The 23,409-nt window shown below is 46.3% G+C and overlaps 2 protein-coding genes and 1 pseudogene across 13 annotated transcripts in view; 2 read left to right on the top strand and 1 right to left on the bottom strand.

Annotated features, from left to right (window-relative positions):
* The window catches only part of SLC2A9 (solute carrier family 2 member 9), a 269,246-nt gene extending 247,002 nt beyond the window's left edge, over positions 1-22,244 (top strand). For 6 of the 12 annotated variants that reach the window (XM_011513858.2, XM_011513856.4, XM_047415976.1 and 3 more), the window contains 2 exons: positions 13,204-13,402; positions 21,900-22,144. In XM_011513858.2, the coding sequence (XP_011512160.1) occupies positions 13,204-13,402; positions 21,900-22,129 (429 nt within the window). In that variant the 3' untranslated portion in view covers positions 22,130-22,144. Of the gene's footprint in view, positions 1-13,203; positions 19,517-21,899 lie in introns of those variants that run through there. The other 6 variants (XM_047415974.1, XM_006713968.5, XM_047415977.1 and 3 more) reach the window with 3 other exon arrangements.
* Positions 408-518, top strand: RNA5SP154 (RNA, 5S ribosomal pseudogene 154; annotated as a pseudogene).
* Positions 9,260-11,635, bottom strand: DRD5 (dopamine receptor D5). Its single transcript, NM_000798.5, has one exon. The coding sequence runs from the start codon at positions 11,237-11,239 to the stop codon at positions 9,806-9,808; it is 1,434 nt and encodes a 477-aa protein (NP_000789.1). The 5' UTR covers positions 11,240-11,635; the 3' UTR covers positions 9,260-9,805.

Here is a 23,409-nt window from a genome sequence, read left to right as displayed (position 1 = left end):
CACAATATGGGGAGTGGTCAACATGATTTCTGAAGTCTCTAGCCAGATTTCAAATTTGCTTACAGCACACAGAAAATTGCTAAAGAGAAAAATCTATAGTGGCCGTTTCTGTTCAGGCTGCAAAATCTTGTGCACTATTTACATATTTAAGTATGAACTGTCTCAAAGGGTCTTTCATTAAAAAATGACCAACATGGAGAAACCCCGTCTCTACTAAAAATACAAAATTAGCTGGGCGTGGTAGCGCATGCCTGTAATCCCAGCTACTCGGGAGGCTGAGGCAGGAGAATGGCTTGAACCCGGGAGGCAGAGGTTTCTGTGAGCCGAGATCGCGCCATTGCACTCCAGCCTGGGCAATAAGAGCGAAACTCCGTCTCAAAAATAAATAAATAAATAAAGAGGATGTAGGCTACAGCCATATACCCTGAACATGCCCCAATCTCATCTGATCTTGGAAGCTAAAAACGGTCAGACCTGGTTAGTACTTGGATGGGAGAAAATGAAGGTGGAGATAGTTCTTTGTGAAGACACATGTGTGTGCTTATTTGTGCAGTTGTGTGCTCGCAATTGCATCTTGGGCACATGTGTATTGTGGAGGCATCTGTGTGCCTGTGGAGTGTGTGTACATATGTACCTGATGTGTATTTGGCTGCAGAGGCACAGAAGGTCAGCAACAGCAGGTGGCTGCATGCAGGGACACTAATAATTACTCACTCTATACAAACTCTTTAGCAACAATGTTAGCTATTCTACTGCTGACTTTACGAACAGAGAAAATGTGGCCAGACACAGTGGCTCCTACCTGTAATCCTAGCACTTTGTGGGGGCTGAGGCAGAAGAATCCCTTGAGCTCAGGAGTTTGAGACCAACCTGGGTGACGTAGTGCAATCTTGTCTCTAATAAAAATTAAAAAAAAAAAAAAAAACTATCCAGGTGTGGTGGTGCATGCCTATAATCCCAGCTACTTGGGAGGCTGTAGCAGGAGGATCACCAGAGCCCAAGAGTTTAAGGCTGCAGTGAACCATGATTGCTCCACTTCACTCTAGCCTGGATGACAGAGCAAGACCCTGTCTCCCTGCCACAAAAAAAAAAAAAAAAAAAAAAAGAAACATAGAATAGAAAACATCTCCTGGTTTGTATCCTGGAATAGAGAAATGAGCACAGGCTTTCAAATCAAACAGTAGTGATTCATATCCTGTCCCTCACACTCACCCAGCATCTCTGAACCTGAATATTTTCATCCAGGTTGACTTAAGGATGAAATGGAAAAAGGTTTACAAAGTACCTGGGGTATAGTGAAGGATTCAATAAATGTTCTCTCCCTTTTCTTCTATATTAGTTATCTATTGCTAAATAACAAATTAACCCAGAACTTAGCGGCTTAAAACAGCAAGTGTTTTTCTGATAGTATCTATGAGTCAGGAGCCCAGGCAAAGATTCGCTGGGTCTTCTGGCTCACAGTCTCCCAAAGGCTGCAATCAAGGAGTAATATAAGGCTATGGTCTCATCTGAAGGCTCAACTGAGGGACGCTTCCTTTCCAAGCTCCCTCATGTGATTATTAGCAGGTTCAGGTTTTGGCTGGCTCTTGGTCAGACACTCCCACAACCTCCAGTTTCTTGCTACTGGGCCTCTTCATAGAACACCCACAACGTGACTGCTGGCTTCTATCAGAACAAAAAAGCCTGTCCTCCAGCCCCCAGTGATTCACATCCTCCACCCCATGCAAAATACACTTGGGTCCTCCCAAGATCCCTAAAAATCTCCTCCCCCTTCAGCATCAACTAAAGTTCAGAATCTCATCAAATCAGGCATTGGGGTGGGGACTTCTTGAGAATGACTAGTCACATGCAGCTCCTAGAGTACAGTTCCTCTCTATCTGAGAGCCTGTGAAACTAGAGAGACACAGTATCTGCTTCCATACACCTAGCATTAAATGGTGTAACAGGCATGGATTAGCTCTATATCTGTCTCCTTTTTCTCTAGATGTTTAATGAGACAAGTATTTTAATTTTGTATTCCACTAATTTATTTATTCAACAAATGCTTATTAGGTACTGACTATAGACTCCTTATTTATTTTGCATTCCCATTTTGCCAACAAGGAATCTGAGAATCAGAGGCAAAATATTACATACAGCTTGGCCCACTGAATTATTTTTTCTCCTCTAAAAGGACCTCTAGGGTTCTCCATCAATGAGGACTTTCTAGTCACAGCTGCAGTGAGGTTTGAGTTTAGCTATTTAGACCATCAACCACAAAGACTATACATTCAAATTATTTTATGTGGTAGAATATCTAAGAATAATTCAAGCTAATAAAAGATCTAGAGAATAATTAGATGTATTCATTGTTAATAAGAGCCCATTTAATATTGTAGCAAAGGCAAGATCAGGGCAGGATCAAGGCAGATAAATTTCAAACATGCCTAAGGATAGTGAAGACCAATGGTGTTTTTCGATTGTGGCTATATACATTCTAACACATCCAATTTTTTTAAAAAAGTGAAGCTTAGGCCCTATTCCCTAGAAATTCAGATTTAACTAATTTGGAGTCGGCCCCAGACATCAATATTTTAACTTTCAAGTAGTTCTAGGACAGACAGGTTTAGGGGCTACGGAGAGACCCAGAATGGCAAGTACTTAGAACATTCACACATCCCCCACCTCCCAAACTCCTAATAGAAATCATTTATTAACCAGGCCCCTCCATGTCATTGGTTGGAATACAACTTTGTAGTCTTTCTCATCCCAGGACTCCAGGCAGCCCCTACCCATGAAGCCAAGTTGACATATGAATGAGGGCATATGTGTTAGCCCCTACAAGCCATACTGGGCATGCTTTCCCAAATCTACAAATTATCAAGTGTGTAGAAAAATAGAGCCCCCTCCATGCTGAGCAGATCTCACTCATGTAGACAACTGAGGTCTAATTACCCATTGGAAAGGGCCATTGGAAGAGCACAGGAAAAGGTCCAAGATGGAGAGGGAATTTACAACCAAGTCTGATAATGGTTTCAGAACCTCAAAATACTTCACCTGGAGAGGACCCATGGGCAATATACATGAAGGAGCTCTCCTCTTCCTGAGTCCCTCCAAAGAGTTGTGTAAAGCCCAAAAGGGGGGTTCTCCAGGAGTAGATGCTCTTCAAATCCCACTTCTATCACTTACTAGAAGCATAACCTGGCTTGCTATTGAACCTCTCTCAGCCTCCTTTTCCTCCTTTTTCAAATGAGGACAATGGTGCCTATGTCACAAGAATATTGCAATGATTGCATGAGAAGATGTATACAAAGCACCTCACCCAATATATAGACAACAAATGCTGGTTGTCTTCTTTATTCTGTCAGTGTTGGTGGAGTGCTGGTACTCTCAGTTCACTAAGAGTTTTCAGGACAGGAATGGTCTTAGAAGAGAATCAGAACAATATTCTGAGTGTTTTCCCTGGAACTGGCATTGTATTATTAATATCCCACAAATGGGAGACATGTATCCCTTGGTCTCATACCTGCAATATCAAAATGGTACTTCATTAACAGTGTCAAAGCAAAAGTCTGATGGCTCTGCCTGCTCTTGTGAGTAGGGGTACTCATATTCCCTTTAAGCCCTTCCCCCGAATTGGCCTAGAGGCCCAGGGGTTTCCACATGGGCTCAACATTCTCCGCTTAACTCTCCCCTCATATCAACAACTTCCTCCTATCAAGCTTGACATCTTGTCCTATTTCTTCCTATTCTAGGTGTAGGCAAGTCTAGTCTGCTCTTTAGCCACTCTATCCATCTACTGCATATTGACTCTTGAATTATTGATCCCTAGTAGCTTCCCACACTGCCTGTAAAATGGAGCACAGAACCACTACATAGAAACAGGAAGGTTCTGCCCTGTACTCTCAGCTCTTAAGGACACAGTCACAAGAAGACCATTTCTAAATTCTCATTGTATAATGCCCTTACACATTCCACATGCATCACAGCACATAACCCTGACAATAAACTACAAGGTAAGCAACTAATTATTCCCTTTTTAATATTTTTTAAAACCTAGGAAGGTAACTTAATCTCTTTGACTTCCAGGTCTCATGAACTAGAACATTAGAGAATCAAGATTTGAACGAGAGGTGATGGTTTTTAAAATATTTCTGCTAGATATCAAAATGAATGCATGGGATTTGATATATCTACATAAATAGGCATAGAAATAGAGATGCTCACTGATATGTGTATATGCACATATGAATATGTGTGCATGTATATACATGTATCCATTTCCCAGCTCTTCTTTTAAGAGGATATAGAAACAATGTCACCCCAGCAACAATAAACACCCTAGTGCCCACATCTTGATTTCTCTGTACCATTTTCTACTAGAAGGAACCCTGGTCTCCTTGGAAAAATGGCTGATTCCAAGGCTTGGACAGGGAATATACAAGATGAGTCTGACATATCTCGTGTTGAAAAGTAAAAAACTACTCAAAGAATAATGACAGCATGTCAAAAGGACACAAGAATCAACTTAAAGGGCTCCCACTAATCAAATCTAGGGCAACCTAAATATCATGATAAGTATGGATACCCCCAGCTCACTGAGAGATTTGAGGGCAGGGACAGTCTTAGAAGACAATAGAAAACAGTGTTCTGAGTGTTGCCCCTAGACTGAGCATTGTGTTAATATCTTAGAAATGGGACACATGTGTCCCCAGGTCCCATACCTGGAATGTCAAAATAGTATCCATTAACAGGGTCAAGTAAAAGATTATAACCTATTATAAAAACTAGAAACCCGGGCTGGGCATGGTGACTCAAGCCTGTAAATCCCAGGACTTTGGGAGGCTGAGGCAGGAGGTCTGTTTGAGCCCAGGAGCTTGAGACCAGCCTGGGCAACATAGGGAGTCCCCGTCTCTACAAAAAAAAAAAAAAATTACCTGGGCATGGTGGCATATGACTTTGGTCCCAGCTACTTGGGAGGCTGAGGTGAGAGGATCACTTTGGCCCTGGAGTCAAGGTTGCAATGATCTGTGATCATGCCACTGCTCCCCAGCCTAGACAACAGAGTGAGACCCTGTCTCAAAAACAAACAAACAGAAAACTAAAAAACCAAGATTCTATGCTGATGTAAATAAATATATAAAACAAATATTCTTCCTTACAGTAGAAAACCAACAATACATTTAGAAAGATTATGGAATTTTTTTTAAAAACACTATTTGACAACCACAGTAATAACTGATTCAGGGAAGGGCCACTAATAAATGCTAAAACCAATGGATGCAAGTTTGAGAAATAATAGGATATCTTCATAGTCTCAAAGTATTTCTCCAAAGGAAATACATATTAATTATAAAGAGTAAAACAGTGGACAGCACCGTAACCTCATGAGCAAAGTTAACATTGCTAGTAATGGGACTAATTAACAGCACCTGCCCCTCATGCCATGAGCTACAGGAGCTCAGCATGGCATCTGTGATATTCCTGCCCAACATACATGACAGAATCCAATCATGGAAAAGCACCAAAAAACCCAAGTTGAAGGACAAGTCTACCAAGTAGCTGGCCAGGTAATCTTCACAAAGGTCCGTGTCATGAAAGACAAAGCAGCAGAAACTTTCAAATTAGAGGGGACAGCTAAATGCAACACATGGTCTTGGATTGTTTTGTTATAAAGGACATTATCATGAAGTCTGAATAAAGTCTGTAGATGAGATGAGAGAATTCCCTGTTTTTAGGAAATATGCAACAAAATATTCAGAGTAAATGGGCATCACATCTTAGATGACTCAGAAGAAAAAGGGAAGAACAGAGATAAGTGATACAGTGAAACATTGATGTTTGGGGGATCTGGGTAAACAATATTCAGAAATTCTTTGTACCGTGTTGCAAGGTTTCTGTAAGTCTGAAACTATGTGAGAACAAGTGTTTAAAAATAAAGCATAAAATGTAAAACATCTCTTCTGCAAATTCTTTGGCACTCCTCCCATGAAGAGGTAAAGTCTGATCACCTCCCCTTGAATATGATTTGGACGTAATGACTCACTTCTAACCAATGAATATGGTGTATGGATGTGTAATTATAAAAGAAGATTCAGCATGTATCAGAACAAGTTCTGGGGCATGTGTTTTGTGTAATACACGCTCTGTGTGGTTCATGTGCCCATTGCTCAGATAAAGAAGCTGGAGCTCAGAAAGGTGCCCAAATTCAGATGACTAATAAATGGTGGAGCCAAACTTCAAACTCAGGGCACTGGAGCCTCCAATCTCAGGCAGGTAGCCTTGTGGACAGGGAGCTGGGACCTGGAGTCTGCCTGCCTGGCCAAGTCCTCTCGAGTGCTGCAACATGGGTATTTGGGGCTGGATAATTCTCTGTGCACCAGAAGTTGTTTAGCAACATCTTTGGCCTCTACCCGCAAGATGGCAGGAGCACCTGACACCCAGTTGTGACAACCAAAAATGTCTCCAGACATTGCCAAATATCTGTGGGGGTGCAGGGTGCAAAGTTCCCTCATTTAAGAACCACTGACCTAGGGTGAACCCTGGTTCCTCTACTAATTTTCCCATGACCTTGGACAAACAACCTTGTCCTCAAGGTCCTCTGTGCCCCCATGTCCTCATCTGTAAAATGGAAAAATAATAACATGTGAGGTTAATGTGAGGAATAAATAAGAATCCAGGAAAGCATTTGGTCCATCATGTAAGAGCTACTTTGCCCATAACCCTAGGGTGCCTTCCCTCCAAACACAAAGCTGTGCAAAGAGCAGGTACACAATGAAGATCTGCTGTTGTATAGCTGTGGGGATGAATCAATTAACTATTTCAGTAATAAATGAACAAAAAACTGAATGTCCTGATCTGTGCACTAGTGCATTTGCTGACTGAAGATGTTCTGGCATCCTCTCTCACCATCAAAGAGCAGTTAGGATTAAAGACTCCACGGCCAGGCTACCTGGGTTCAAGTTGAGTTCTGCCACTCAGGAGCTCTGTGACCACAGGCTGGTTATTTAGCCTGCCAATGCCTTCATTTCCTTATCTGTAAAATGGGGTAATAAAAGTGCTTACCTCACAGGGCAGCGAGAGTCAAATGAATTAACACATGTGTGTACCCAGCTCAGGCTGGGTCTCCATCATGCCTGCTGCAATTGCTGCTACAGCAATTAACATTAATCCTATGACGCTCTTCTTTTATAGCCCTCCAGCCACACTCCTCCGAGGGCACCAGGAACAATCCCATTTCCAAGCCTTTGCACTTGCCACTCCCTCCGCCTGAATTACTCTCCTTCCCAGACATTAGCAGCCCTCCAACCCTTACTTCGTCAAGGTCTCTCTTCATGCAGCTCTTTGGAAAGTCCTCCCCTGACCACCATAAATAAAACAGCAGCTTCACCACCCTACTCACCCTGGGTTTTTTTGCAACATAGCAATTACCCCTGCCTGGCGTTATCTATCCTGGTCAGTACAGCACAGTGCAATGCAGTGCAATATAGTACAGATCTCTTTATTGGCTTATCTCTCCCCTGACTCACATAAATGTTCCAAGACAGCAGAGAATTTGATTGACAACTACATTCCCAGCATCTAGAACAATGCCTAGAGCATAGTACCTAACTATAATGAATGGTGAGTGATATTTTACAGAAGGAAATTCCAAAGTCCTCACATAATCCATTTCCCATAACACAGAACTCATTTAAACTGGAGCCTAGAACAGTGTTTTTCACAAAAGATTTTGCTTATAGCAACTCTTGCTTTAGAACAGAATATTGTAAAAACTTCCAGATCAGTTAGATTTGAGTTTCTCAAGTCGTGACTATGGACTTCAGAGAAACAGTAACAGGAATTCCACCAAACAAGGTTCACGAGGTGAACAGCATTGGGAAATGATACAGAATCTTCTCCCACTGGAGGATGCATCATGCACAGGAGAAGCTCTAAGAAGTCCTATCGAGAAAACAGGTGTTGAACCTGGGTTTGCTGAACTTATTTCACCAGAGACCCCATCCATTAACATATGCATCACAAAGCACAATTGGGTAAACAGTGATCTAGTTGAAGTCTTTCCATTTACAGACACAGACAGAAAATGAGGCCCAGAAAGGTTAATTGACTCACTCAAGGTCATGCGACGATCTCCTGAATCCTAGAGCTGGGTGCTTTTCACTGCCCCTAATGTTGCCTAATGGTTCGCTTAGCTATCCATTCACAGGAGGTCAGAAACTGAACACGGACCTCAGATTCCAGTATCATTTTGACTAAATTATATATAAAAATTGATGTACTGAATAGGATTTGCTTTCAATCTCACTGTTCCAGAAATAGTCATTCATTCAACAAATATTTATTAAGCACTATGTGCCAGGAACTGCACATTTTGCAGTGATCAAGATATGGCTGCACAGAAGACTGACAATAAAATTAGCCTTAAAGAGATCAAAATTGATTGAACTGTCCTTGATAAAACGGCTTCAAAGCAGGGACTTGCAAGAAATTGCATATTCACATTTCATTTGCTTCCATTAATAGTGCTCACATTTAGATCTGATGGTAATAATATGCTCTCAACTGGTGTGGGTCTGGAATAAAACACTCCCCTTGGCTGTGCACACTGCAGAGAGGAAAAACAAAATGATTGGAGTCAGCCGGGCTTTTCTATTGAGCACCTCGACCTACAGATTTTCCAATTTCAAGTTCATTCACATTTCATCTCTGGCTTCTACATTTTACTTAAAAAGCATTTCCCTATTTGCTATTGTCCACTAAGGAAAATGCCTATTTAAAAATAGAGTTTCTTTTTTAAAGCATCTTGATTCACACATTTCAAAGCTCTTCAGAAAACACGATTTCTCAAAAGCCATGTCATTCTAAAACATGCTACAGTTGTCAGATGGAGAAAGATTCAAGATATTATTCTACATGATCTTTTCAATGAACTGATCGCATCTGTCTAGGAATAAGGAGAGTTGTCTTATGTTACTTCAAAAAAGATTCCATATGAGAAAAAAAACATCTGGTCTTGAGAAGATCTAATGCCATGCCATTGAAGCCAGGTTTCAGCACAGACCCAACATGGGTATAAGTAATAAAAAGAAACCTGAGAAAACAGAAGCTCCTCAAGGTCCTTTGCCCTGGTGTATCTTTAAGGCCAAACTGTAAAGAGATTAAGCATGTACTTCCAGACCCAGCAAATATCTTCTTTGCATTTTAAGGATGCACTCATCGTTTCTTCAGAAGCAATCCTGAAACCCAATGTAGCAAAGCAAAGATAGTCACCCCATAATACAAATAATCTGTGTTTATTAGACACCAGAATAAATCAGGGATACTTCTTAAGCTATGGTAAAGAGGCCCCCACCAGCACAGAGAGAAGAAATGACATAAGCACAAAGCCACGGGAATCCAGACCCAGGAAAGCTGTGCTCCCACCACATCACTGCACACACACACAACCTGCTGTTTAAAAATCAATTCAAACACAAACAAGTGACTGAACAAGCCATTTGTTTAAAAAGGGAGGGGAGAGCATATTTTTTAAGGACCAAGTATCATTTTTTTTTTTAAGGACCCAGCACCATACTCTCTTCTCTCATAGGATCGTTGGTCCATCTCTGGTAGGCTGGGTACATTTGACTGAGTTTATTGCAACTGCTTCTGCCAATTCTTCGAACTACCAATCAATGGGGTGAGGTTTCTAAGCACACGAGCTACTACACAGAAACACATGATAAAGGGAGCAGCACTGGAAAGGCATGTATTTGCGTGTGTGTGCGTGCTTGTCAATGTCTGTGCGGTTATGCAGATCCATGAGGGGGTTTCTTAATGCAGTTTAATGGAATCCATTCGGGGTGAAAGGTGTTATTTTGTCTAAAGAAATCTCCCCCTCGCAGTCCAGCTCCCAGACAGACTCAGCAACAGGGTCACCATCTGGGGACGTCTGATAGATCTGGAACATGCGATCGAAAGGACCCTCCTCCTCGTCGTTGTCCACCTCCCGGTTGCCGGGGGTAACGGCGTTGGGCATCATGTGGATGTAGGCAGCTGCGATTTCCTTGTGGAAGACGATGTCTTGGTTGTAGGAGATGAGCTCATTGCTGATGTTCACCGTCTCCACCGGCGTGCGGGAGCAGAAGTGGCTGCACCCCAGCAGCTGGGCAAACACCTTCTGAAAGTCGGCGTTGAAGGCATAGATGACGGGGTTGAGTGAGGAGTTAGCCCAGCCGAACCAGACGAAGACGTCGAAGGTGGTCTCACTGACGCAGGGGAAGCCGGCCGGAGGGCCTTCGGGGTGTCCACTGCAGAAAGGGACCATGCAGTTAAGGATGAAGAAGGGCAGCCAGCAACACACGAAGACCCCCATGATCACCGACAGGGTCTTGAGAACCTTGGTCTCCTTCTTGATGGAAGCGCGCAGGCTGGTGTCGGGCGCGCAGGCTGCGCTGCTCCGGCAGCTCTGCGCGTGCTCTGCGGCCCTCTCCAGGGAGGAAATCCTGCGGATCTGCACCTGGGCGATGCGGTAGATGCGCGTGTAGGTCACGATCATGATGGCAACGGGGATGTAGAAGCTGATGAGCGAGGAAGAGATGGCGTAGGTTCGATTCAGGCTGGAGTCACAGTTCTCTGCATTCACGTCGGGCTCCCAAAAGTCCTCCTCCCAGGGCGTCCAGTTGGCCAGGTTGTTTGGCAGGTCCAGCCCGCCCCAAGAGGCCGCCTGGTCCCTGTGCCAGTTGAGCTGGACCGGAATGAAGGAGATGAGGATGGACAAGGTCCATGCCAGGCCGACCATGACCAAGGCCATGCGCTGAGTCATCTTGCGCTTGTAGCGGAAGGGCCTGGAGATGGCCCAGTAGCGGTCCACGCTGATGACGCACAGGTTCAGGATGGAGGCAGTGGAGCACATGATGTCGAAGGCCACCCAGACGTCGCAGAACGCTCCAAAGGGCCAGTAACCGGCCACCTCGGCGACTGCCTTCCAGGGCATGACCAGCAGCGCCACGAAAAGGTCTGACACGGCCAGAGACACGATGAAGACGTTGGTCATGTTGGCGCGCAGGTGGCGGCTCCGCACGATGGCTGCGCACACCAGCACGTTGCCCAGCAGGGTCCAGATGATGAGTAGGGTCAGCAGGCAGGCGGTGACCACCTGTGAGGGCCCCAGTGGCGGTGCCCCCGCCGAGCCCCCCACGGCGTTCCCCTGCGCCAGCTGCTGGTATAGAGCGAACTGCCCCGGGTACGCGGTGCCGTTGCTGCCTGGCGGCAGCATTTCGGGCTGGACTGCAGGGGCGGTCTGTGCGCGGTCCCAACTTCAGCCCTGCGACCCCCAGGCAGCCCCATCGGGCACCCCGAGGATGCGCCCCCTCAGCCAAGGGACCCTCGAGCCCCAGAGGGCGCTCACCATGAGCTGCGCCGGGCTGCGGAGCGCGCGGGGACTTCTCTTGCCTCCTGAAGCGCCTCTGGCTCCATGGCCGTGGTGCGCCCCTCCAGTCTCCGCGATGGGGACAGGAAGCGGCTGGTGCTCGCTGACAGCCAGGGCTGTTCTCGGGAGTCTGTAGCGCGCCGGACGGCAGCGGCAGCGGCTGTGTCTGGTTCGGAGCGAGAGAAGAGAGCAAGCCGCCACTGAGGGGCTGGGGCAGGCAGTCGCGGGCGCCAGGCTGGCACTGAGGCGCTGCCGCGGTCCCTGGCCGCTCCCAGGCCCCGCGTCCCGCCCCCCGAGCCTCCGCGCTCGACTCCCGCCCCACCTGTGCCTTGGCGCCCTCGCTCACCGCCCTCAGCGCGCCAGAGTGTAGGGGCGATCCCGCAGGTCCGAGGGGCGCCCCAGCGCCAGACCCTAGTCCCCGGGCCGGGGAAAATTCTCCCCGGGAAAACCGAAGGGTGCTTGGCGCATCCCTGGAGCCTTAGCCCTGGCCACGCTTGGGGAACAAGAGGTGGGGTAAGGATGAGGACGCGAGGGCTTCCGGAGGGGGAAAGAGCATTTGAAGGGTAAGCGGGGCAGCCTTGGATTACCCACAGACCCGAGTCCCAATCCGGACTTTATTCCTGGCTCTGCGACTTTAAGGGCCCTACATAACTTTACCCGGCCTTGGTTTCCTTCTCCACAGCGTGGGATAATGATTCCTACTCCTGGGACAGTGTCAGAACTCATGGAAGCCGTCTAGGATGAGGTGTCCAGTAGACAGTGTCTCCTAGGAACAGGCTCCCGCTTCCCCCAGCCCCTCTCTCAACACCCTGAGGCTGGGGCTTCAGCTGACCTCTTGGGAGATTGTCCTTTTCCCCACCACCGCCCCCAGTCCTTGAACGATTTTTCCTTTGGGGAATAATTCGGAATGAACTCAGAAGACAAGAGGAGGAAGAGAGCCCCCCACCCCCATAGAGTTGGAGGCCTCTTCTTTGCAGGGCACTTTTACAGCCTTTCTCTTTTTCAACCTTGAGAGGGATGGATAAATAGCTCAGTGTTTAACAGAAAAGGAACTGACGGGGCCCAAAACCCAAACTGAAAAAAAAGAATGATGGAAAACAATAAAGAGGGAAAACAGTGTTCCTGAGCTCTGAGTGCACCTCCCAGCTGACAAGTTGCATTTGTGAAGTGTTTCGGCCTCTACTGGCGTTAAGCTCAGCTGAAGGCAGCTGGGAGAGAAAGGGATGTGACAGCAGCCAGCTGCATAGCTCCGGCTGCGACCTGCTGGCCCAGACACCTGCAGCATGGTGAGGTCTAGAAACAGACTGGACTTTCTCCTCCCTTCCTAGTCTCCCCCTCCACCAAACGCACCTGTACCCTGGACCAACATCTGCAAGTGGCCCACCTTCTCAGACTTAAGCTGCTCAGCCTACACAGTCCCTTCCCCCAACCTCCTTCCCCCTCAGTGCTTTTTGCCGCTGGAGAGGGCAAGACCATCTGTCCAGGTGCCTAAACCTGAAACTGAAGGGCCATCCTCACCTCTGGTCTCTCCTCATCTTCTGGGAGCTGGACCACTCCTCTGGCCATGGACATCCCTGTCCAGAATTGTGCCTCCTCCATCCTGTTTGATGGTGGCACTTTCCTGGCCTCCAGTCTCTGCCCTGACCCTCTGTCTTCCCAGCAGGCAGTGATCTTTCCTGAATGTGACTATGTTCATGTCACTCCCCTGATGAAACACCGTCAGTGTGTTTCATGATCAGCTCCCTGTGGCCCCTGTTCCTGGCCAGGCATGCAAGGTCTTTTCCTCATATTGCCCTTGTCTTTGTCCACAGCTCCTGCTTCTTCTCCTTTCACTACTCCGAATACAGCCTGGATTCAAGCTGCCGCCACCACCACCGCCACCAAAAAAGAACACCCATTGTAAACGGTCATGTGGTATTTCCTCAACCTGGAATGACCTTCCCCTATCTTCTTCTCCTGGAGAACACCAAGTCATGATGTCAGACAAGAGCTTGGATTTTGGAGACATGGGTTTGAATTCCAGTCATTCATTCTTTTATTCAGCAAATATTTAACAAGTACTGACATGTCCCATATGTTGTTTTACCCACTGGTTATACAATGGGAGGGAGAGAGAGAGAGAGAGAGAGAGAGAGAGATGCTATTCTAAAAGCTTGAAGTCTAGGCTGTGCACGGTGGCTCACGCCTGTAATCCCAGCACTTTGGGAGGCCGAGGTGGGTGGATCGTGAGGTCAGGAGATTGAGACCATCCTGGCTAACATGGTGAAACTCCCTCTCTACTAAAAATACAAAAAATTAGCTGAGCATGGTGGCGGGCGCCTGTAGTCCCAGCTACTTGGGAGGCTGAGGCAGGAGAATGGCGTGAACCCAGGAGGCGGAGCTTGCAGTGAGCCGAGATCACACCACCACACTCCAGCCTGGGTGACAGAGCCAGACTCCGTCTCAAAAAAAAAAAAAAAAGTTTAAAGTCTAGATAGACTTTAACCCAGGAATAATCCAAAGAAATACACAATTACAAATGTGACAAGGGCTGTGAAGGGAAAGTTCACAGCCTTATCTAAGTGTACAGCAGTTGGGGAGGTTGGCCAAGGCAAGATGTTTAGGGAAGGCTTTCTGGGGAAATTTCTCTTTGGGTTGAATCACAGTTAAGTAGGCAAAGGGGAAGACAGAGGGAAGGGAAGTATGGCAGGCAGGAAGAATAGGCACTTACTAGCTTTGGTATATTGGGCAGGTCGCTTGATCTCTCTGAGCTTCAGTTCTCTCATCTGGGAAGTGAGTTAATAATAGTCGTTTAGAAAGTGTGATGAGACCAGCCAGGTGTGGTGGCTCATGCCTGTAATCCCAGCACTGTGGGAGGGTGAGGCAAGTAGATCATGAAGTCAGGAGATCGAGACCATCCTGACCAACATGGTGAAACCCCGTCTCTACTAAAAATACAAAACTTACCTAGGCATGGTGGTGTGCGGGAGGCAGAGGTTGCAGTGAGCCAAGATCGCACCACTGCACTCCAGCCTGGGTGACAGAGTGAGACTCCATTACAAAAAGAAGAAAAGAAAGAAAGAAAAAAAAAGAAACTGTGATGAGACCAAAACAATTAATGCATGAGTGTTCTGAACCTCCTTTCTCCCTCTGCTCTATCTGTGCAGTTTCTTGACCTGGGCGGTGCTCCAAAGAGGATTCTAGCTTGGCTTTTGTGATAGAGAATGGATACATTATTAGACCTGAAAAGCCGGAGGAGGGAGGAATGGTCCCAAAAGGAAGAAACTGTGCTTGTCTTCCCAATAAAGAGCAGAGAAGTGGGGAGAGGTATTGAAAGCTGTGGGTGGAGTTTTGCAGGGAAGATTGTGTGAAAGAGGTGAGGGAACTACGATCTGGGGGAATATGGATAGGAGAGTAAAAGGGAATTCTAGAGAACAATCCCTGCTGACTTCACACAACTTAAGAAATGCAAGTAAAGGGCCGGGTGCGGTGGCCCACACCTGTAATCCCAGTACTTTGGGAGGCTGAAGCAGGTGGATCACTTGAAGTCAGGAGTTCAAGAAGAGCCTGGCCAACATGGTGAAACCCCGTCTCTACTAAAAATGCAAAAATTAGCCAGGCGTGGTGGGATGTGTCTGTAACCCCAGCTACAGAAAGAGAGAGAGGTGGCTGAGGCAGGAGAATTACTCAAACCCAGGAGTTGGAGGTTGCAGTGAGCCGAGATCGCACCACTGCACTCCAGTCTGCTGGACAACAGAGCAAGACTCGGGGGAGGCGGGGAGAAGGAAAGAAGGAAGGAAGGAAGGAAGGAAGGAAGGAAGGAAGGAAGGAAGGAAGGAAGGAAAGAAAGAAAGAAAGAAAATAGAAGTAGAAATGCAAGTAAAACATTTCAGTTTGAAAATTGCCTTTTGTCTACTGAACATGAGACTGCTTGGAGACTGGGCAACATGGATTTTTATAAGTTGTACAAAGCACTTAGCAATGTTTGAACCTCTCCATCCTGCAAAGCCAGCTCAATCAGTTCTCCAGAAAGACTTACTGAGTCCTCTGCACTGAACAGGTGTCCTGTGTTCCAGGAGAGCCCTGGGCTGGCTCCTAGTGCAGCCGTTATGACCCTGGACTACACCATCTTTCACATCACCGCCTGGCCCTCTAGAATCTCAGCCTCTTAAATCAAGAAATTGTGTCTTGTTCATGTCTGAATTCCCCAAGCGAACACAGTGAGTGGGTGCTTGACAAATCTTTGTTGGTAATGAGCAAAAAGGGGATTCTGTGCCCAACACCATGAAATCAATGCACAGAAGTTTCAATCAACCAAGAAAGGTGCACAGACGCTGGCCACACACTGACATTTGTTTTCAGATGTTCCAGTCCCCCTGACTTTCACCAATCCATTCATTCCACAAGCATTTTTGATGGGGTGGAAGCAAGACAATACATGGTGTGTAAGTGACAGATAGGGTGGGTTTTTATAATGAGTATAGAAAAACTTCTAGCAGAAGATGATAAAGTATATCAAGAAAGGGCTCTCTTCAAGATCACACCACTGCACTCCAGCCTCGGTAACAGAGGGAGATTCCATCTAAAAAAAAAAAAAAAAGAAACAGAGACGGGGGCAAGGGAGCTCTTTTTTTCTAATTAGCACAAGATTGCCATTTCAGCTAGGGATTCTGCTGCAACCATCTCCCAGACCCTATTCTAGGGCCCGGGGACAGAAACAGAATTAAAAACATATTCCTTATCTTTCTTGGGCTTATATTATTGAGGAGAGAGAAATAAACAATTTCAAAATAAACAATGTCATACAGTGCTAAATGCTATAAATAAAATCAAACAGAATAACAAAAGAGGGAGTAGCTGGATTGAAGGGAAAAGCTGCTTCAGGATGAGTTGTCATCTTGGAGGAAAGTAAGCCCATGTAAAGGCCCTGGGGCAGAGTGAGCTTATTTGATAAAGAGGTAAAAGGGTCAGGATATCTGTAGCAATAGTGGCCACGGGAGGGAGAGGTATGAGACAGAGGAGGTGAGCCCTGTTGCCATGGTGAGGGCATGAGGATTTGTTCTAAGTTCCAGATACCTGGAATTAATGTCCTCTGAACTGGACAATAACTACGAGCCTTCATATCTCAATGCTACAGTCTTTAAGCCCCTGTTATAAGAACTCGGAGGCTTCAGGGATGACAGGAAACACCAGAACGCTATGGTGGAGCATATCTAGGTGCCTTCTCCCAACTCAGACCCTTTGACTGTACAAAGACACAGGTTTCAAGGCTGAGATCCACAAAACTCTAGCAAATACTGCACAGACACCAACCAATGACAGCAGGTGCTGCCTGTCACCCTGGAGCACCAGGCAGCATTTCAAAGCACTCTTGCTGTGCCGGCCTCTGATTGCTGGTTATAGGGAGGTCTGGGGTAGTCCCAAAAGCTGGGATGTCCAAGGTAGCTGGGGTCAGTCAGGAGGCTCAGGGCAGTGGCAGGAAAATATTTTCCTCCCTGTTAGAGCAACAGTGGGGTATCCAGGCTGAATATCAGTGGCGAGAAGGATGATCGCACAGCACCAAGACCTGCGGAACAAACTTTGTTGGAGCTGAATCCAGAAAAACAATCTTCTTCTAAGCCACTCTCCTGCCCCTCATTTAATTATTGTGCTTTTGGGTGTACTTGGACTACTCTGAAACATTCAGAACTCTGTCAAAAAAAAAAAAAAAGAAAGAAAGACTTCTTTCCTCAGCACCTCTCTGACTTGGGCATCAGTCTTGGCTTCCTGTCTACTTGCTTTCACTTGCTGTTTGTGGCAGAGATGGCCCCCAGCAGATCCCTTCCCTCGGGTTCCCTTGCTGTCAAGTGGAGGCTAGGGAGCGAGATTATGGCCAATAGAATGTGAGCGGAAGTGATGTGAACCACAGATCTGAGCCTTAGGAACATCCCACAGGACCCTGAGCTCTTCCCCCGGCTGCTGCAGTAGCCTTGGAAGCCACGTGTGTTCTAGAAGTGTAGCTACAGATGGAGAAGGCCCATGTGCTAGCTAGTCTCCAAAGATGGTGTATTAGGCCATCCTTGCATTGCTATAAAGAAATATCTGAGACAAGGTAATTTATAAAGAAAAGAGTTTGAATTGTCTCATGGTTTTGCGGGCTTTACAAGAAGCATGGTGCTGGCATCTGCTTGGCTTCTAAGGAGGCCTCAGGAAGCTTACAATCATGAGCAGGCACATCACGTGGCCAAAACAGGAACAAGCAAGAGAGAGTCGGTGGGTGTGGGGAGGGACATGCCACACACTTTTAAATAACCAGATCTCACAAGAACTCACTATCTCGAAGACAGCACCAAGCCATGGGGGATCTACCCCCATGGTCAAAACAACTCCCACCAGGCCCCAACTCCAGCACTGGAGATTGCAATTTAACATGAAATCTGGGTGGAGATAAATATCCAAATTATATCAGAGGGCCTTCCCTGGAAGCAGACCTCCTGGTTTCCAGGTCCCCTTTCTTGCTGCTTCTGGGCTGGTCTCCTGGGAAGCCAAGACTGCAGTGGCTCTGATGCTGCATGGGGGCTGAGGCTCAGCCATGAGGAGGCTCGCAGCTGCCACTTTGGTCTTTTGGAAACTTTGCTCATGAGAGTCTCCCCGTTGGGCCCCAGCCACCATGCTGTGAGAAGTGAGGGTCATGTGGAGAGGTCACATGGAGGTTTTCTGGTCTAGAGCACAACTGAGCTCCCAGAAACAACCAGCATCAATGGCTGGCCATGTGAGCCAGCTGGCATGGACATTCCAGACCAGTCTGTCCTTCTGTCACCTTAGCTACAGGGAAGGCCCATGACCCCAGAAGTGCCCGTCATTATGCTGAATTCTCTGGCCTCAGTGGTCCACCGAGGTGTGCAAGCATGTCTCACAAGGGTCAGATGGAGTTCTGGCCTGGATTGATGTGTAGATGCTGGAGAGAGAAGCTGGGTTTCTTTTGGCTGGGTGGCTCTGCTGGTATGTGGTGGGCCTTGGGTTTCCAGGTGGTCATTTTCCTTATTTGCAGAAGGAATGAGGCCCATATAGAGAATAGAGCAAATTAAAGGGAGAGAAAGAGAAAGAAGTAGGGAGAGAGGAAGATAGAGAAAAAGAAGGAAAAAGAAGAACGGAGGGAAGGAGAGGAAAGAAAAAGAGAAGGAAAATGAGAAGGAGGAGAGGAAGAGGAGAGAGAGAGAGAAAATGATTTCTTTGGACCTCAAAATTCAGGCATACCATGGTCTTTGCAGTTACAAAAGTCAATAAGTTACCCTTTAGCTGAAACATGTCTAAGTGGAGTTTCAGTTGTTACAACTGACAAAGCCCTGCCTAGCACAAGGAATAAACAATGTTCAGCAGTGGCATGAGAACAAGGGACAGCCTGTTTGGTGGGCAGCATGGCAAATGGCTGTCCAGAAAATATGACATTTGGGCTGGAGGGCAAAGTGGAATTCACCAGCATGCAGGGTGGAAGCACGACCCTAACAGAGGGAACATCACGGGCAAAGGCTCAGAGGCAGGAAGCTTTACGTGTGAAAGGATACATTTTTAGAACACTAAACATTCTCCCTGCTTTCCAAAACACTGAGTTTCTCATCATTTTTTGGCCAGATGTGGTGGCTCACGCCTTTAATCCCAGCACTTTAGGGGCCGAGGTGGGTAGATCACCTGAGGTCAGGAGCTCAAGACCAGCCTGACCAACATGGCAAAACCCCATCTCTACTAAAAATACAAAAATTAGCTGGGTGAGGTGGCAGACACCTGTAATCCCAGCTACTCAGGAGGCTGAGGGAGAAGAATCGCTTGAACCAGGAGGCAGAGATTCCAGTGAGGCGAGATCGCACCACTGCACTCCAGCCTGGGAGATGAGACAGAGCAAGACTATCTTAAAAAAAAAAAAAAAAAGACTGAGTTTCTCATCATTTTTTGAAACTGAGAGTGTTCTGTGTATCAATAAGACCTTATGATGCAAAATATAATATAATGTGCAGCTAGGTCTCCACAGCCTTCAGTCTTTCCCTGGAAGGGCTCCATGAGCTGCTTGTCTGGTGGGGATGGTGGTTTTGAGTAAGTAGTGGGTGTCCTCTCTTACCCAGGCTCTTTCCCACAAAGAGTTGAGCAGAATTAAAAGCTACTGGAAACCAAGATCTCTCTCTGACGTTGACTTGTCAGAGCTCAGCCTCATCAGCACAGGCTCTAATCAACTAAGCAGCTAATAAACTCCTGCCTCATTTCATCCAGCCAGAGCCCTGATCTCAGGGGATGATAGTGAGGAAACGATCCTTTCACATGCCTGGCTCCTGCAAAATTGTGCTAAGAGGATTTTCCTCAAACATTTTAGCACAAAGCGAGTTTTCCTAATCCAGTTAGCAAATATTCTTCTATTTGAACTCATTGACCCTCCTTCTTCTGAAGATGTATTTTAAATTGGATTTGCTTCACTGACACAAATGGAAAACTTGATAAGAAAATCGGTGGGGTTTTGCTGCACCCACTGCTGATATCAAAAGACTCAACTCTGTATTACAGCAATGAAAGCTCTGTTCTGTAGCTACAGGATACAAGCTGAGCTCCCAGCCACCAGCCCTGCCAATGTGCTCAGCTTGGCACAGGGCAGGGAATAGGGTAGAGGGGAGGGGATGGGGAGGGGCAGGTGGAAAGGCCCAGGTGATGAGCCAGCCACATCACCTCAACCACAGGACCCCTGATGGTGGCCCTAGAGCCTCCTCTTGAAATCCAAAGCTCAGTCCCTCTTCCCAGTTCAGGAGCAAGGAGGTTTCTGGCAGGTTAAAATGGCTAACTCAGGAGCTTGCCACCTTTGAAAGGCAGCACTCTGTAGACAGAGGCAGAAGGATGGGCTTACGAGACAGTCCTGGGTTCATATCCTTCTCTGACTTACCAGCTCTGGAACCTTAAGCAAGTGACGTAACCTCTCTAAGCCTCAGTTGCCTCATCTTTAAAATGGCATCCATTAGTGGGTGCAGCGCACCAGCATGGCACATGTATACATATGTAACTAACCTGCACAATGTGCACATGTACCCTAAAACTTAGAGTATAATAAAAAAAAAATAAAAAAAAAAATAAAATGGCATCCCTAATGCTTACTATGAAGAGATATCATGGGTAAATGAGATGCTGTACTTACAAAAGTGCAAGTCCCTGTATTGGTCAAGTTTTTTTTACAGCAATGCTACATAACACACAGCCCCAGGGTCTCAGCAGCTTAAAACAAGTGTTTATTTCTTGTTAATAATTTGCAGTCAGCTGGGAAGCCTTGCCTCAGACTGGGGGCCAGGCTCTGTTTGCTTCTGTGTGTCTCATTCAGAGGCCGGTGGTTCCCTGGAGCTTGCTCTTCTCATTGTGCAGGGGTGGGGTCAATGCGGCCACCCAACACCACATTCTGTTAGAGCCTCCGGTCAGACCAGGTGTGCACTAACTCTGCTCATGCATCTCTAGCCAAAGCTGGTCATGTGCACAGTAAGAAATCTGCTCTGTCCTGTCCACAGGGAAGTCGCAGGAATGTGGAAAGGCCAGGAAGGATTGTGAGCCAATAATACATCTTGACAATCCACAATAGATGGAAGCTATCATTGATTCATTATCTCAAAATGGCTCCACCAGCCAACCCCTTCTATCCATCCCCAGTGCCACCTCCTAATTCAGGTCCTTGATGCTTTTTGCTTGCATGGCTGCCAGAGCTGTTGGGCAGGTCTCTCAGTGCTGATGTCTTCACCCCCACTCCTATCTCCTCCATCCAACATTCTACCACCAAGGCAATCCTCCTAAAACACAACCACAGTGTTCTTCATACTCCCTATGATTCCCTGCAACCCACATTATTAATCATTAATCCAATTAATAAAAATTAATGCACTAATTCCCAGCTCCTCAGTGTGGCCCTTCACAATCTGCTTGTCCAGCCTCATCTCTTGCTTCCCCAGCTTTCCCCAGCAGACCCCTCTTCCACCCATTCCAACGCTGTCCTCTTCTCCCAGCCTAGTTCTTTCAGGCCCTGTGCCTTTGCACTTGCCCCTGTCTGAAATGTCCTTCCCACTTCTTCTTGAAGGGGGTGAGTGCCCACTCACATTTCAAACCCCACACCAATGCACACCAGGATCTCCTCAAGACTCCAGGGTAGTAGCCACCCTCTGTATTTCTGCAGCACGCTGCACCTGCCTCTAGCACAGCTCAACAGCCCACTGAAGTGAATGATCTGTTCGCTCGGTGCTGACTTACCTTTCTTTCCCAGCTGCAAACCACTCAAGGTGAAGTCATCTTAGCCTCTTGGAGTCAGCCTGACTGGGATGAACCCATTGATATGTGTTGCATAGATGAACATATCATGACAATAGTGATGAGGGATCTCCAGCTATCTGTGCACTCTCTATGCTTCCCAGACTCTTTGGCAGTTGTGTTGGGTACTGGCTGAGTTCTGGAAAACAGGAATGTGAGCAGAGTGCTGCAGATCTCCTTGTCAGGAGCACCTAAGAACTGGCATGACTCTACACCCTCTCTCCTTCTGCAGTGACCTCATGTCAAGAAGGCAGACCTGCAGAAATGAATGTGCCTGGATACCTGAGTCACCAGGTGAAGGAAACTCCCATTGACCTGCATCACACTCCAGATATGAAACCCTTCTTTTTCTGCACTGTCACTGAGGTTAGGGATTATTACTCACTGCAGCTTAGCCTAGCATTAAGTTGCTTGACTAATATAAGTTTCAATAAATGTTGCTCCATTTCCCATGGCTTCTGACTGAATGCTTTGCAATATCCACAAACCATCCAGATTGTGGTTTATAAACACCACCCTTCACTAAAAGGACTCAGAGCTCCTTGGAGAAGTGGCTGATGCTAACGCTGGGGGAGGGAAGTACAAGGTGAGCCCAGAGTGCTGTGTGGTTCCAGAAAGCAAGGAAGCATTTAAAAAATGGCAGGGACATGTCAAAGGACACATCAATCAACTTGAAGGGGCTTCCATTGGCCAAATCTGGGATGATGTGAGCATCCAAATTAATAATGATAATGGTAGATTATAGTCTATTGAATAAAATGAGAACCTATAGCTATAGAAAGAAAGAAAAGGGAAGGAAGAAAAGAAAGAAGAGAGGGAGGGAGGGAGGGAAGAAGGAAGAAGACTTTCTTACAGTAGAATGCCAGTGAATAAATACAAAGGGAATAATAGAAAACTCCATTTGCATGATCATAATAGTTTATTCAAGGAAGAATCATCACTGAGTGAAAATTTAAAAAGGTAAAGTATATTTTCATTGTCTCATAGCACTTCCACTCATATGGTTTATTAATTGCAAAGAGAAAAAGTGGTAACTTAACAGTAGAGAAACCCAGCAGGTCCTCCCTTAATGAGCTGAACAAAGTTAACATCACCAGGAATAGGACAAATAGGTGCCAAGTGTCTCTTGATGTGATACACTGAGAACACAGCATCGCTTCTGTAGCATTCCAGTCCCCGGAGGAAACATCGGACAAACACAGATGGAGGGACCTTCAAGGACTGACCTGAACTATTCATTGGTGTCAACTCCATGATAGACAAAAAGAGGTAGAGGAACTGTTCCAGATTAAAGTAGACTAAAAAGTTATGACAGCTGGATCAGGGGAAACATGCCTTAAAGGGCATTATTGAGACTGTTGGCAAAATTTTAAGTGAACTGTATATTAGACAATTATCAAGGACTAGGTGATTGTATGGCATCAACCTCAAATTCCCTGAACTTCAGCACTAGACTCTTCTTGTTCTAAGGGAATATGTTCTGAAATGTTTAAGGGAGAGGAGAAGGATGCCTGCAACTGAATTTCAAATGGTTCAGGGAAAGATAATAGAGTAGAATAGACTCTATAGATGGAGAAAGTAAATGTGGCAAATAACAATTGGTGAATGTGGGTGAAGGGCATGAAAGTTCTTTGCCTTACAATTAATTCTTCTATAAGTCTGAAATTATTTGAAAATAAGGGAAATGCTTTCAGCTGTGAATAACAGAAAGCCTGACTACTTGTGGCTTTTGCAATAAAGAC

Source organism: Homo sapiens, chromosome 4, assembly GCF_000001405.40.
Source record: "Homo sapiens chromosome 4, GRCh38.p14 Primary Assembly".
NCBI classification, from domain to species: domain Eukaryota; kingdom Metazoa; phylum Chordata; class Mammalia; order Primates; family Hominidae; genus Homo; species Homo sapiens.
This window is presented reverse-complemented; position numbering and strand designations above follow the sequence as displayed.